This window comes from Homo sapiens, chromosome 13, assembly GCF_000001405.40.
Source record: "Homo sapiens chromosome 13, GRCh38.p14 Primary Assembly".
In the NCBI taxonomy this organism is placed as follows: Eukaryota; Metazoa; Chordata; class Mammalia; order Primates; family Hominidae; genus Homo; species Homo sapiens.
The window spans coordinates 101,118,908-101,136,011 of NC_000013.11; the positions used below are offsets into that span (position 1 = coordinate 101,118,908).

At 37.0% G+C, this 17,104-nt stretch overlaps 1 protein-coding gene across 10 annotated transcripts in view; it reads right to left on the reverse strand.

The window, feature by feature from the left end:
* Positions 1-17,104, reverse strand: part of NALCN (sodium leak channel, non-selective) — a 363,404-nt gene that overhangs the window by 65,132 nt on the left and 281,168 nt on the right. For all 10 annotated transcript variants that reach the window (XM_011521069.3, XM_011521067.3, XM_024449336.2 and 7 more), the window contains one exon: positions 5,701-5,774. In XM_011521069.3, coding sequence (XP_011519371.1) covers positions 5,701-5,774 — 74 coding nt within the window. The remainder of the gene's footprint in view (positions 1-5,700; positions 5,775-17,104) is intronic.

The following is a 17,104-nucleotide window of genomic DNA, read 5'->3' on the forward strand; positions in this document are numbered from 1 at the left end:
CCTCCCAGCAGTGTACAGGGTGTCTTGCTAGTTCTGCCCAGAATGCGGAGCTGCAGAGAAATAATATGACCTTATCCAAAGTTGCTGAATAGCTGGCTAACCTATGGAACAATAATTATAAAAGGAGAACTTTCCAAATGGGAAAAAGCAAATGGTGTGAAATGCCTGGCATGTGAGACACTACAGAGATATTTCTCGAATGAATGCGTGAATTCTTAGGGGCACTTTCTTTCAGGAAAAAAAATCCAGCTAATGTCATTTACATAATTGCAGATTAATAAATACATAGTGATTATATATATATGTAAGTAGTATATAAGTTGTATTTATAGTCATTAAATGATTCTTTTAAAATGATAAGAGAAAAACTATCTCTATGTATTTTATTAAATCCGTTTAATTTTTTTCTGTAGTAAGTAGCACTAAACTAAAGACTATTCCTTAAGACTTAAACAGTTATTAATATAAGTGCATGGCAAAGAAAGTTACGTTATAAAACCAAATGTCAGAATGCAAACATCATACGAGACTGAGCATTCGAAAGGTTATAAATATATTGTCCTCACTAAGGAGGTACTCATGGCAAACCACACAAGGATGGAACTTTCTAAACTAATGTAAAATGTTTAATTGTTTTATTTTAACATTTCTCTATTCATTCAGCCTTGCAGGAACGATAATGCATTTTTTGCTCGATTTCAGGGCTTTGAATTAGAGGAAATCTCAACAAAGGTAGTGATGCTTTTGAAAGTACATTGCTATTTGTTTTTTATTTCGCCTGATGAGAGAAAAGGTCACTGCCTTTTGAAAAGAAGCTTTATTTAGTGGAGCTGAACGATACAGTCTAAGTCAGAACAACAATAAATTTAATAGCAATCCTGGATTTTATAATTCAGGTAGTGGAACATCCTCTTCGGATAACTCTTAAAAAACAACAACTCAGATGCCTGTTTGTGCCAAGTGAATCATCTGCATTTTAGCATGGGCCAGTAGCCTCAAGTTCTGTAAAAATGGCCCACTTTTTTTTTTCTCATCAAAGAGTTCTCAAATATATCAAAAAATTCATTTATATTTCTCAAAACATCAATTAATTTTCAAAAGTACAAGAACATGAATTAAAGATGATTATACATAGAAATGGGTGATTCTACCTGTGAGTTACATACCTCAGGCTCTAGGGCCCTTCCTCTCTGAAAGACTTCTTCCTCTGTGGGCTGGAATTTCCTGTTCATAGTAATGTATATAACATACTTTCTGCTAGAATAATGTGGATCCTGTTTCAAATGGAAGATGGATATTTGGAAATGTGGGTCCCCCCTGAGAACTAAGACCCCTGGCAGCTCTCCAGCTTAATTTCCAGGGCTGAGAGCTGAGCCTCTGCGTCAATATGACTTGACTTGTCCAGGAAGGTAAAGCTGTTAAACAGTCAGCAACTTCACCGTTGATTTCAGGCACTTCCCACAAATTCATTTATCTGAACTATAGACTGCTGGGCCAACCCCTTTCTCCAGACAGTAGGTCACTCAACTGGTCAAGCTAGTCACCTACAAATAGTTGGTATTCATTAGGATTTTTTGTGAAGACTCTACCCAATGGGGATCAATGCCAAACTTAAAAAAAAAAAAAAACCACTATAAAAGTCAGTTGTATTTGTTTGTTAAAGGTAATACATGTGTCTGGTTAAAAATCTGAAAGGCACAAAAGAAAAAATAAATTTCATGTGTGAAGAGGACAACATAAGGTCACCATTTATTTTTCTTCTCTTAGATCACCCAAGTCAAGAAGGAGAATGAAAATAGAAGGGCAAACTCGCTGTAAAGAATGGATTACTCAAATGTTGAACCAAAGCCGGGGGAAAGAACATGGAAAGCAGTGGAGAGGCACCAGGCAGGTCGCTTTCTCTTTCTGGTCCTCAACCACAGCACTGCCGTCTTCAGAACAGTAACTATTACTTGTCCATACCAGGCATCTTCAATACTCCTCAACTCATATCAAGAATTCTGCCCAGTCTAAACAGACCTCCATCCTACAAACACTGAAACCCAAACCCAAAACCTTACATATATCCACCTCTCACTTATCCCTTCTGAGACATTATGAAAACAAAGTGGCAGTTTCCCTTACTGGAATAAGTATTAAATTTTGCTTGGTCAATAGATTATTCAGACAATCTTTTTAAGGTAGATAAGAAAACTGAGGGTCAGATTAGTGAGGTGTTCAATGTTACAGAGAAGCAGAGCCTGATCCCAGCCAGGGGGGATTTAACACCAAGTCCAGTATCCTACATTAGATCTTCAGGGGCCCTGAAGATCGCCTCCTCCTAGCTCCCATGGAATAGACAAGAGAGCTGAGAATTGAAATTAATTGTCTGTTTACACAGCCAGGCCTCCAGAAACCTTAAGTCAAGGGGTTGCTTTATTTTTTCCCAAATACTTGTTATTTTTTGGAAAGTTATCTCAAGACGCTAATATTTCATAAAAACTTCCTATTCTTATATCACTCTGGATTTAAGGTTTTTGTGATTTATCTCTATCTGCACACAAATTAGGACGAATGCCAACCTGTGATATTTGCCGGAATGATCCAGCTCAGGTCTCTTTTTCAAGCCTCCCTATACTGCTGTTACTTACCTCCCTGGCGAGGAACCTCTTGGATAAGACTAAAGACAATAATTCTATGAAATTAAAAACACCTAGAAAGTTAAGAGGAATAGAACACTAAAACGGCAGTCTCTTCCAGATTTCTTTTATTTATATCAAGATAGACCCATCTATTAAAAGACAGAATCTGCATCCTCTTTGTCTTAAAAGCCCTTTCATTTTTTAAAAGCCTTCTTTCAAAATGCAAATGGTCCTGGGAGACCCCACTGCTAAGTTATCCAGGAACCTTGGCAGAGTTTAATCGACAGCAAGGTTGGAGCCTAGGAGAGCGGAGTCCCTAGAGGCAGTAAAAAGACACTGAAAAAGTGGTGGAGAGCTTTTTCTCCTTCCCAATTTTGTGGAAGGTTATTCGAATCAATTGTCCTGAGGTTACTGCAAATGTTTTCCTTTTTTTTTTTTTTAAAAAAAATTCTTTTTCTCCCTCTTTTTTTCCTTTTAGCTGTTATTGTTCCTTGAAAAACAGTATAAAACAATACAAACACTCATTGACATGGACCCAATCTATTCTTGACTTTTTAACTGATGGATCACATTATAATGCAGGTATGGTATCATTGCCATTACTATTACTACGATTAGTGGTGAAAAGATAAGTATTCCCAAAATATCAGTTTGATTTTTTGCACTTGCCCTTAATTCATGCAGAAACTAGCATAGAAGCAATGAAGAAACCATTCGCACAGAAGAAAAAACAAAATGGCTTTCTAAGATCAAATTTGTATTTTAAAAAATTCTAAGGTTTTTTATTTTTTCAAATTATGGCTTTTTATTTCCTGAGTTTCAAAAGGTGATATAGCTCAGGTAGTTTTAAGGTGCTGCCTCTCATTCTGTAGTATGCTGGGCTGCAGTAAAATATTATTTATTGGCTGTGGGTATCCCCTAAACTACACCATTGTTAGGCAAGTTAGAGGTGTCTATATTCCCTGATAGTCTTAAAAATATTGCTCATGTACATTATATAATTGAAAAAACAAAAACACTTCTGTATATTTAAAAATCAGCAACTATATCCCTCTTGCACCACGTTAAATAGAAGAATGTAATTTCTAGCATTATTGTGTTTGTGCTTGAAAATAATTTTAAGAAAATATTGGAGACTCTTCGCCATCCAATCTATTCAATTTTATGACATTGGGCACTTATTAAATCAGTTTTCATTGTTGAACCAATCAGCTGAATCTGTCAGAAAAAGTCTGGCTTTATTTTTCAATTCAAATAACATGTAACCACATGCCCTTGTGACAATCATGTTATTTCTAAGGCCTAATCTAAGGTGGATAGCTTTGGGAAGGAAGTTATCCATAAAACTGTCACCTGGATAAATAATAAGGCACGGCCCCATGGGACCCTCTTTTTGGAGAAATCCAGGTGGGAACGGTCCTTTTGCTTGGCAACCCAGAGGATTTTACATCCCAGATTAATACACGCCATAGTTTCCGGATGAGTGAGAGTTTCACCTTTCTTTTGTAAACTGAGAGAGGGGTAAATAAGGACAGGAGGGTGAAAAAGGTAAAGTGATAGATCAGTTTTAAGGAAGAGTTCCTAGGGAAGTGAGGTCTGGAAATCTCTTCCTTGCCAGTATCTGTTTCTGCATCTGCCTTGGAAAGTCTCTGGGAACCCATTCACACAGAGGGCCCATTCACACTGCAAGGCAGTGGCTCTGGACAGGTGAGTAAGGTCCCTGTAGTTCCTGACTTGGCAGGCAGATACTCGATGCAGACTGAGAATTATGATGTCCTTGTAGGTAGTTTCTGGCTTGAGGGTGAATTTCTCTTTTTAGTGAGTGGATCAGCCTTGCTGTAGGACCCTACCATGAACCTGTCTGATGTAGGTGCAGCTGGAATCATGATCCTGATGTAACATGTGTGGTTCAAGGCCAGCCTCACTGCATGATCTGATGGTAATACCAGGATGGAGTTACCAGCCAGTCGGGAGTAAGCCTAAGTTGGGGCGCAGGTTGTCTATTTCAATGAGACCTTGTCTGTTTATCTCATCACATTTTGTGGTGATAATATACAAGCCCTAGAAATGCTTATTTTCATCCTATGACAGCTACTCCAACACATACTTAACTCTATGCATGAACGTCAGCCAATATTGAGAGAAATACTGTCTTGATGAGTTAGGAAATTTTTTTTGCACACAAATTTTAGGTAGTATTATAAAGTAAGAATAGTTTTAAAGATCATATATACTAAGCTTTATTTTCTCACACAGTCTTCCAAGTTATAGTAATATGCATTCTGGAGAGAATGCATTAATGTCTATTCCTAGTAATAAATCTAGTAGAAGGGAGCTAGAACTCCTTATCACTCACCGCAGGTTTGCAGGGGGCTTCCTGGCATGAATCTGTCCACTCGCCTTGCGAGCGATCCTACCTCCAGCTCCCAATCTTGAGTTGTGTCATCTACATATGTCTATGTAATATATGTACCAATAAATGATATTCTAAATGCCTATGTGTTTTTATACTCATCATGTTACTCCATAATATAACATATAGTCTTATAAAACACTCAAGTCGGTTGCTTAGTTTTCCTCCTTGATACTTCATTTCAGCGCATCTTCTAGAAAGTAGCATTAAAAGCATATGTTTTCATAGGCATTCTAAGATTGGTATACTTTTTATTATTTCCGGATTTTTAATAAATGTGCTCTTAATAGTGTAATGAACTATAATGAAAAAGTTTACCCTTTTACCATTTATCCTTTAGATTGCAATTTCTCCTTTACATATCACAAAAGATATAAAACTGTTAAAAATAACAGTAAGTTATTTTCACCTTTTGGTCAATGTTTATACTTATCATTTATGTTTAAATACTTGAAAGAAAGGCCTACTGAGCTACTAAAATTTTTTTTTAGAAATGACATCAATATGTCTTTTACATTGTTTATAAGTACATAGATACTCAAAGCTACTTTCTGGCAGAAAGTATATGCTGATGCCCAGAACATTAATTCATTTTTCAAAAAGCTATTTTTCGATTAATATAATCCCACTTGTGTTTAAATATGTGTCAACATTAATTGGTGTTACCTTAAGATTTTAGTGACTGCGGTCTCCTTTTCCAGAAGGTTCCTTGCCCTGATGCTGAAAACAGACTTGCGAAGCTGAAAATGATAAGAGTATGACTTTTAGTTTTGGAATGTTAAGAAATAATATACTGTCAAATCATTCAATAGATGACATTGTTAAAACATGAAACATGAATATGTTTCGCTAAAGCATCATCGTACAATTGACAATTCTTGTCTATTTTTACTTTTATTTGGGCAGCACCATGAACAAACTTGTGGGGCCCCACGTCCCAGCCACGGATGGTGCATTGGCTGTGCCTCACTCTGATAATGGCCTTCGTCTGAATAAAATTTTCAGTTTCCAAAGACTTTAACGTTGACCCTCATACTGGACTCCTTATTTGTCTTTGATTAGCGCAATGTTCTCTAATCCACATTATGTCTGCTGCAGGTTCTTGGCCTGTAACCTAACACTAATCTGAACAATGAGTTTAGGAGTTGTTTTGCTTGCAGGTGTGGGGAATGAATGAAATGGGCATTCAAGATCTCTTCCTAGTTGGCGATGATAAAATTACTCCAGAGAAGAGAACTAAGGAGAAAACCATCCTGGATGCTGACTGTAAATTCAAAGATATACTCCCCAAGCTCAGTTCTGTGTGGCTTGCTAGTTGCAGATTTTAGATTGGTGGAAGGTGTACAAGGAGTTAAAGCAGGCAGAAGAAGGGCAAAGAGAAAACAGGCAAATGGGCCACTATGTTCTCATAATAATAAATAAATAACTAGATTCACAATAATAAATAACTAGAATAAATAATAAATAACAGGAAAGTGTAACTCCAGTAGTCAGACTGAAGATAGTAATTGAGACCTGTTCATTTTGATCAATAGATTAGATTTACTGAGCACTTAGCATGATATTAGTGACCATAGGAGATTTAGGGTAAATAGAATTTGGAGTTCTTGGTTTCTAGAAGTGAATAGCCTAGATAGGAAGACAAGGGTAGGACACATGAGATCATCAGTGACAAGTACAGTGCAGTAGATGGCACAGTGCTAGATGATACGTAAAGGAGAAAACACAAGATCAGAGGGGCTGGAGCTCTCTGCGGTGGAACAGCAAGTCTGGACTAGTCGGCAAAGGCTTCAATGAAAAAGTGGAGGTTATACTGGGCCTTGAAGGAAGGCTAAGATTCCTAGAGGCAAAGGCGGTACTGGGTGAAGGACTGAAGTGGACATGTGTGCACAGGGCAAGTTAATTTGGTACAAACTACCTGTATAAGTGCTGTGCTAGCCAGATCTTGAAACCAGGCAAGAAGCCCTACAGGGCATACTGTGTGTCAAACAAAGTTGAGGGGGGAAAGAAAACCCTCAGAAGACAGAAAACTCTGTATTCAGTAAAAATAGATCACCTAGTTAGTTTCTTTTCAACAAGGGTTAGGTATGTTGAGGTACAAACTCACAGCACCCCATTCTACAAACAAAGCTATGAACAAATGCTATAATGTCAGTCAGTGTGTCCATAAAGCCATAGTGGAGAAGAACCAGAGTAACAAACAGGTCTTTTTAGTCACAAATGATAACCTAGATAACATCAAAACTAGCAATCCACTTTTCATATTTTACAGCAGATATGTAGTAAAGATCAGCATCACTGAACATACTGGTGATTTCCCCCTCATGAGGAAAGGTGGTTTGTTCATTTTTCTGCTCAAAAATGAAAAACCGGAATTGGTTTCATTATTCACTAGAACTCTTAGGAGAAAAATTAATGTATGGACAAGGAGACAAGAGTGGATACCAACTATTTGGAACTTCCATTTTCTTGGTAGCACATACATGCTATTTCCAATGATAAATCTTGAAACTTTCCTACTTCTCCCCTCCTGAAAGAGTTGACTTTTGGCATAATTTTTTTTTTTTTTTTAAGATAGTCTTGCTCTGCCATCCAGGCTGGAGTGCAGTGGCGTAATCTCAGCTCACCGCAACTTCCACCTCCTGGGTTCAAGCGATTCTCCTGCCTCAGCCACCCGAGTAGCTGGGACTACAGGTGCCCGCCACCATGCCCGACTGATTTTTGTATTTTTAGTAGAGATGGGGTTTCACCATATTGGCCAGGCTGGTCTTGAACTCCTGACCTTGTGATCCACCTGCCTCAGCCTCCCAAAGTGCTGAGATTACAGGCATGAGCCACCACACCCGGCCAAAAGTTGACTTTTGACATGGATTTAACCTCTCTTGAGTTGACAGCTCAGCTCCTAAGGAAAGCTGCTTGGAGCCGCTTTTGGAGATGGAAGACTCAGCTGGTGGCCCCATCATCGTGGAGCATCTGCTCTTTAGACACCTAAGAACACACATAGTCCTGAGACAGACCCAGGCACAGAGGTCCTGTGACAGTGAGTTTTAAGAGAGGACTCCAGATTCCACAACTCTTATTTCATCTTGAAAGGACAATGACATGTGTTAGTTGTCTTTCCTTCAGTGGAAGATGAGAGTCTGAATCCAATCACTTATCTACTGCCCCTGCAATTTCACGTTAGGAAAAACTTTTGGGATAATATCTGGTACACTATTGCCTAAATGATTTCTGCCCTGCACAAGATTGCTAAAAGGCTACTGAATGGCCTTTGTCCTGAATTTGAACTAAGACAAAATACAGTATTAATTCATACAGGAGAGTACTTGAGAACTGTTTTTATAACTAATGCCAGAGGTAGCAGGAGAATCAATATTATAATAGAAAAACATCAGATTTAGCTTTGGGATGTTCTTTTGTTTTGTTTTGTTTTTTGAGAAAGAGTCTCACTCTGTTGCCCAGGTTGGAGGGCAGTGGTGTGATCCCGGCTCACTGCAACCTCCGCCCCCTGGGTTCAAGCAATACTCCTGCCTCAGCCTCCCTAGTAGCTGGGATTACAGGCATGCACTACCACACCGGCTAATTTTTGTATTTTTAGTAGAGACGAGGTTTCACCATGTTGGCCAGGCTGGCCTCAAACTCCTGACCTCAAGTGATCCACCGACCTTGGCCTCCCAAAGTGCTGGGATTACAGGTGTGAGCCTCCACACCTGGCCTTTGGGATGTTCTTAAAAGAAGGAAAGGACTCACACACACATATATATGTCTTCTTTCATCTACTTATACATATATATATGATATTACATTTGATGTCCTAGATATGTATTTAGATCGTTATATACTTTCTTTTTTCTACTAAATAAAGAAGGCCTATAGTGATTATCTAGTTATTCCCTTCTTTTTTCTTACTTCTATAGTAAAGCTTTGCGAATTTTTTTTGGCAAAGGGCATTCCTAGACTGTGCTAAACATAAAGAGCTCAGAGCTACACTGCTCTGCAGTGCCCTCTTCTGGCTCTAGAAGATACTGACAATCACCTGAAATAATTAGCAAAACAAAGAATACAGAGATCCATTTCATGATGAGTAATTTCAGATCTGAAATTGTAAATTACAGCTATGAAAGGAGCCAGTAATTGCTCATTCTGGATGTAAACATATCAGAGATGTGGGAATAAAAAGGAAGGGGATGAATGATGGAATTACAAGGAGTTTACTTTGAAAAAAGTCAAAGATTCGTTGAAGAAGATTTTCTTCGGTTTTGTTTGGAAACTGAAAACATCCAACTGCCTCAGATAACAATTCTTTGACAGAATTAATAACTCAAAACAAGTAAATTAAATTTAAATTATCAACAATATAGAGATATTTTAAGTCTTGAACTTCTAAGTTAAAACACGTTTCCAGAATTACATACTTTAACACATAATTCAAAAGCTTCAACTCAATTCCCATAGAGTTATTTGTGATTGAATAATTTGGACCTGAAAGACATTCCAATGTATGAATCTTGCTGATTTTTTGGCGATGTCTTCTAATTAATCTACATGTTACCCTTTTTTCCCCTTAAAATAGAGAAACCTGGGCCATTTGACCTATAGTTTTTGAGTCTGGATTTTTTTTTTTCTTTTTTTGACAGGGTTTCGTTCTGTCACCCAGGCTGGAGTGCATGCAGTGGAATTATCATGACTCACTGCAGTCTTGACCTCCTGGGCTGAATCGATCCTCCTGTCTCAGCCTTCTGAGTAGCTGGGACTACAGGCGTGTGCCATCACATATAGCTAAGTAACATTTTTTTTTTTTTAAGAGATGGGGTTTCTTCATGTTGCACAGGCTGGTCTTGAAATGCCTGGGCTCAAGTGATCCTCCTGCCGTGGCCTCCCAATATGCTGGGATTGTAGGAGTAAGCCACCGCACCCAGCCAAGAGAGAGTCTGGATTTTGCTGAAAGCACACTCTTGGTACAGTTCAACACGTTCTTCTGTCTTCTATTTTCTGAAAATCGGCAGCTGGATCCAGAGGTTTCATCATACAGACTCTGGTTTCATCCCTTTGGCAAGGCCATAGGTGGTGTCAGATTCTTCCATCGAAAGGAACAGAGTGTGTGTGTTTCTTTTTGTGATGTTACGGGTCTTGATGTTCATTTCTTAGATCCCTTGACTTCATTCCGTTTGCAAAACTGTCATTTCTTTTTCATTTATTAGTTGGGATAGTTTTATAATGAGGTGCTTTCCCTCCTGTATTATTTGGTTACCCAGTAGCAAAACTGGTATGGAAAAGCCAAGATAAATGCTTGATTATCGACTTTTACTTATTAATTTTACATGGTTGATTTTCTATCATCGCTCAAGGTAACCAATTACTATTTAAAAAATGTCATTATGAACTCAAGATTTAAACTTATTTAATGTTTAATGGATTTCAGTCCATGTCAATTACCATTTCTTACTGTTAGTCAAATTATCTCTACTGTGCTCATTGGGAGTTTTTCAAGTTGGTCAGTCTGTAGGTTCTTTTTATATGACCCTCGTAGTCTTTGACAAAGCTTCCTTGTTCCTAGTATGACAAGATGCTCCAAGGTCAGCTTGTACACTTCCTATTCAAAATCAACCATTTTCTTCAAGAAGCCCTGGTTTACTTATTGGAAAATTGGAAAAATGGTGTTTCAAGAACATATCTAGAGCCCATAGATGCTCACTGCTATGGAGTTGGTCACTGTTTCAAATATTTTGCCTGGGTTTATTCTGATGTTTTCAATTTAAATTCATGACCCAGGATTTTTTTTTTTTTTTTTTAGTTATACTTTAAGTTCTGGGGTACATGAGCAGAACGTGCAGGTTTGTTACGTAGGTATGCATGTCCCACAGTGGTTGGCTGCACCCATCAACCCGTCATCTACATTAGGTATTTCTCCTAATGCTATCCCTCCCCTTGCCCCCCACCCCGATAGCACCCAGTGTGTGATGTTCCCCTCCCTGTGCCCATATGTTCTCATTGTTCAATTCCTACTTATGACTGAGAACATGCTGTGTTTGGTTTTCTGTTCCTGTGTTAGTTTGCTGAGAATGATGGTTTCCAGCTTCATCCGTGTCCCTGCAAAGGACATGAGCTCATTCTTTTATATGGCTGCATAGTATTCCATGGTGTATACGTGCCACGTTTTCTTTAGGATTTTTATTTTTACCTAAGCTTTTCTATATGATATCTATATCTCCTTTTTTCTCCACAAAGAGCACTCTTGATTATCAAGAGCACCAGGGATGCCAGAATTAGATTGTCTCAACAGTGACTCAGTTTTATTTCACATTTCATAGACAATAGTCTCAGAATGAAAATACACAACCAAGAAAACTACTGAATATCTTAAGGGTTTGCATATCTTCTTCCCGTTCACCTCCTCATTTGTATATCTGTACTCTATCCATATTAGAACAAATAATTATTACATATTTCACTCTTCATGTTGTCCTTATGTAGTTAGTTGTTACATATGAATGTGAATTTTTATGCCAAATGGTTTAAGAGTCCCTTTTGGAGTTCATTTAGGTTATCTGAGGCATGTTTTTTAGTAGATTACAGGTTCATTGAAACAAGATTACTTGTATCTTACATTACTCATATTCTTAGATCTTGAAAGCAGTTTCTCTGACCTTGAAAGTTGAAAGTCAGTTTTCAGGATGGAAAAAAATCTGGCTCAGATATTCTTTGCCTGGGCATCCTATATATGTTACTCTATTTTCTTCTGACATAAAGCATTGCTGCTGAAAAATCTCATGATAATCTAACGTTCTTTCCTTTATAAATCACTTGTTCTTATTTGGGCTAGATAATATATTTTTAAAAAATTTAAAGACCTGTCATTTGTCTGGTGTATGTATTGTTTTTAATCATTTACTCCAATATTTTTAGGTGTGTGCTGTCAATATATAGTTTCATATCTTTTTATGTTTCAGAAAAGTTTAGTATACGTTTTATTCTCTTGCTGTGGTTTTTCTTCCTTAGGGACACCTATAATGCAGATGTCGGATTTTTGACTTTCTTCAATTTGTCATTTTTCTTGCAAATCATTTTCATCTCTTTCTTCATTTCTCTTTGATTTTAAAAAATGCCCTCTTCTCCATTTTCTATTTCTCACTTTTGAATCATCTGAGGTCTCTTTATGTTCCTTCTCGTTTAGTTTTCATTGCTTTAATTTATAACTTTTCTCAGTTCTGGCACCTCATTTCTGAGTTTTTCTAACTTTTATTTATGTTGCTATTTCATCCTTATGTAATTTTTAATGTCTTTTAACTAATTTTTCAATAGTATGCTACAGTTTGAGCTGGTTAGAGCACGTTTTTGTAGGTTGCTTTCCTTGTCTACAGTGAGAGACAGTATTCTGCTGTTTTTTTCTTATAATAACGTTTGCAGGGAATTTGGCTTTGATAATTTTCCTTACTCATTTTTATACAAAATTAGTTTTCCCAAACAGTTTAGTATTTCTCTTCTAACTTCAGAGTTTCCTCTTCTGTTGTTTTAATATATCGATCAAATATGGTAGCTTTCTTTCTGGAATTTCCAAGCTCTGTTTCCCAATCCTCCTCCCCCCACAAATTTTGTCTGGATCTGCTTTTATCCTTATCACTCTTGTTCCTGGCCTGTTCAATTTTGATTCCACTCCTGGACTTTTTATTTCAGAATGGAGCAAAGAAGATGTTCTACCATTCCATGAACATTGGACGCTCTGTAACTAAGCTTGGTTTCCTCCCACAGACACTAATATCATGCAAATCATGTGGCTGTTTGTCAACACTTGCTTTTATTTAGGGTTTGTGGATTACCGAGTTTTATGGTAAATATTAACTATGGATTTGGGGTTTTGATATCTTGGTATTCTTTTTGTTTTCATGTGGGAATTCAAGGTTAAAAAACAATGTCAATGCCTCTGTCATCTTTATAGAAGAAGGCTCCTTAATTTTTTCTTGTTGAATTTTAAAGTAGATTTATCAATTTTATTACTGCTTCCAAAGAACAAAATTTCAATTATGTTGATATTATTTATCACCTCTTTCCCCCCATTTGATTAATAACTGCTTTTCTCTTTATTATTTCTTTCTTTCTGCTATCTTAGTGTTTCCTTGGTTGATAATTTTTCTAAATTCTTGAAATGAATGCTTGGAGGATTAATTTAAGCCTTTATTTCTTTACTAGATATTCATTCAGGGCTAAATTTTTTCCTCTAAAAATGCCATTAGCTACTTCCCACAAGTTTGATGCATCTTTTGTTCATTATTTTTTAATTGTAGATATTTTCTTATTTTCATTGGTGTTTCTTCTGTGCTTATTTGAAAATAGTTTTAAATTTCTGAATGTGTAGGTTTTTTTGTGGTTATTTTCTTCTTATTAGGTTTCTGATTTTGTTACATTTTGGTCAAATAATATCTTTTCTAGGACACTGATGTGTATATATTTAGAAGTCTGTGGTAAATGGTTACATTTAAAATCATACATGTGTTCTTGAATTAGAATGTTATTCTCTAGTCATTGAATGAAGAATTTTATAGATGCCCATTGCACATTTAAAAATGTACATTTTATAACTTCTACATCTGTATTTCTTGGCTCCTTGATCTGTGCTGAGGTGATATATACATATTTTAAACTTAATCTTCAAACTAATCCTCATAGGTAGGTAAGGTATTATTATCTCTTTTTTCCAGATTAAAGATCTAAGGCTCATAAAAATTAAGTTGTCTAAGTTCACTCAGATAATAAATTGCAAAATTATTACTAGAACTCTGGATCATGCAGCTTCAGTGTTCAAATCTTTTCACTGCATTATGTCTATGTAAAATGTCACTAGGCTTAGTATAAAAAAGCATTTTCTAAACTATATCATAACAAAATATTATCTGCTTGACTTGAAATATTTTGTTTACACATATTATAAACTCTTGCTATTCTCACATCCTAATGCAAAATCGAAACTAACCAACTTTTTGTTTGTTCTACATATGCATAATTGATTTTCAGAATAATGACTCTGAAGCACTGAAAGAGATCAATACATTTCCTAACTCATTAAAGCTAGTATGATCATAGTTTTTATATTTTACACTTACTGATTCCTTAAAATCTGGGATCCATCAAAACTCTCAATCAATCAGAATATTAATTTGATTAATTCAATCACCCAGAAGTAACCACAGACCTATCTTGAATATAGATTCCTTTAGGATGCGGCAATGCTTAGACCTAAAGAACCATAGCTTGACCCTAGAAACCACCTTCAGAATGAAGCCATCAATATTTATTTGACAAAGCACACCACAAGTATTATAAATATTCAATAGCTTTTTTGATTTACAATGTTAACAATACATTTCTGTTTCTAACTGGGAAAAAGTTTGAGTGGCTCCATTTTTCTTTTCTCACTTTACAAATATTAACAGGTTAATAATAAATGGGAAAGTGGTTATAAAAACATATGACCATAAGACACAAAACCACGGTCCAATGAATATGGCTTGATGAATGTCATTTCTGCTAGAAAGTTGTAGTGTAATTATTGTAACGAGCCACTTTATTGAATAAGTCTCCCAAATAAAATATAGTAATTGGGAATAAGCAATTACTTAAAATTGCATGGGTCGAAGGTGGTATCTCATTTGACTGTATTTGAATTTTCATGCACCCGTGAATTCATAATTAATCCCAAAGTGCATACGACAGATCATGTGTGTGGCAAGATGTTTCTATAAAATAAACTTTCTCTGGAATTGACATTATGCTTAGAAAAAAAATTTTAAAAGGTGATTAATGTGAGCATCAGCAAGATTAAAATGTTGATTATGGATGTATATAAAGGTGAATACCATTATAATATCATGTTATGAAGCTTTGAACAGTATCTTAAAATGTGAATTTTGTGAAGAGAATTTTAGATGATGGGTCAAGATTTCTTATTGTAGGCCAGGTGCGGTGGCTCACGCCTGTAATCCCAGCACTTTGGGAGGCCGAGGTGGGTGGATCACGAGGTCAGGAGATCGAGACCATCCTGGCTAACATGGTGAAACCCCGTCTCTACTAAAAAATAGAAAAAATAAGCCGGGCATGGTGGCGGGCGCCTGTAGTCCCAGCTGCTCGGGAGGCTGAGGCAGGAGAATGGCGTGAACCTGGGAGGCAGAGCTTGCAGTGAGCTGAGATCGCGCCACTGCACTCCAGCATGGGCCACAGAGCGAGACTCTGTCTCAAAAAAACAAACAAACAAAAAAAAAGATTTCCTATTGTAACTTATTTCAATATCATGTGTTCTGAACCCTGTAAAAACACTATGTGTAGGAGTTAAAATATTCATATAAACATGCATGTGCACGTGTGTGCATGCCATGCATACACCAAATCTTCGCTCTTCCTTTGGACTCCTAGGCACCCAGCACAAGTTGATCCCTGCCCTGTGTGAAACATCTTTTTATCTTTCTGTAAATTCCAATAGATTGTAAACTCCTTAGGATATGTATAATGTATTCTTTGTTTATTACATTTTCTTTCATTGTCTAGCACTGTGCATTGTTGGTGCTTGAAATATATTTGAAAATTGAATTAATTTCATAATATTAAAGTATTACTTTTTCTATCTTATATATTTTAATGTAGTTAGTCCTTGAAAATAAGAAATATGAATGACGTAAAAATTACAAAGAGGGACTGCTTATTTTGAAATGAATCAACTAACTTGATATATAGGAACAGCTTGTAATATTAGAAACTAAACAATTTAAAACTTAATGGATCTGATTTTTTTTTGCACGTGAATGTTATGACAATGTTTCGGCCACTAACACAGTAGCCTGGGGTCACTTGGTCAAATCTCCAACATCTTACACATCAAATAATGAAACTGTGCAAAAATCGAGGGAAAAGCAATATCTTCGAGTACTGAAACAAATTTAGATAGGTTTAATATACAGTACTTAATGATAAGAAACTATAAATGCCCGGGTGCGGAGACTCACGCCTGTAGTCCCAGCACTTTGGGAGGCCGAGGCGGGTGGATCACGAGGTCAGGAAATCGAGACCATCCTGGCTAACACGGTGAAACCCTGTCTCTACTAAAAATACAAAAAAATTAGCCGGGCGTGGTTGCGGGCGCCTGTAGTCCCAGCTACTCAGGAGGCTGAGGCAGGAGAATGGCGTGAACCCGGGAGGCGGAGCTTGCAGTGAGCCGAGATCGTGCCGCTGCACCCCAGGCTGGGTGACAGAGCGAGACTCCGTCTCAAACAAACAAACAAACAAAACTATAAATATACGCTAGATAGATTTTAATTACAAAAGTAAAATACAAAATGACTTTATGATTATATCTAATATAAACAGGAAGGCAAAGATTGGAAATCTGCAGAGACAAAAGAAGGTGAGTGGGCTTGTGATTCTAGAGTAAATGTCAGATGCTTTTAACCTGTTTGTGAATTTAGAAATTCCAAAATTTTTTTTTGTTTTGAGACGGAGTCTCGCTGTATCGCCCAAGCTGGAGTGCAGTGGCATGATCTTGGCTCACTGCAACCTCCGCCCCCTGGGCTCAAGCAATTCTCATGCCTCAGCCTCCCGAGTAGCTGGGACTATAGTTGTGTGCCACCATGCTCAGCTACTTTTTTTTAGTAGAGATGGGGTTTCACCATGTTGCCCAGGATGGTCTCGAACTCCTGAGCTCAGGTGATCCGCCAGCCTTGGCCTCCCAAAGTGCTGGGATTATGGGTGTAGAAATTCGAAATTTAAGGTCTGTGGCAACACAAGGAAGCAGGACTTGGACTCAACACCATCATCAGCAACAAATACAACACACTGAGACTAGCATGACACTTGATAGAAGAGACAATTTATAAGTAAAACTGTAGTCAGAAGAGGAAAAAGTTTAAAAAGAAGAGCAAAATGTAAATTTCCAAGATAGATTTAGCAGCGGCCTTAACTCCTTGATACCTCTTTTGTGCATGATACAGAAAATGCGATTAAAAATCTTTTAAATTACCTATAAAAAATTCTTAATCCTAGACTGATTTACTTTTGACTCTCAATGCGCATTTACTAAGGAATACAA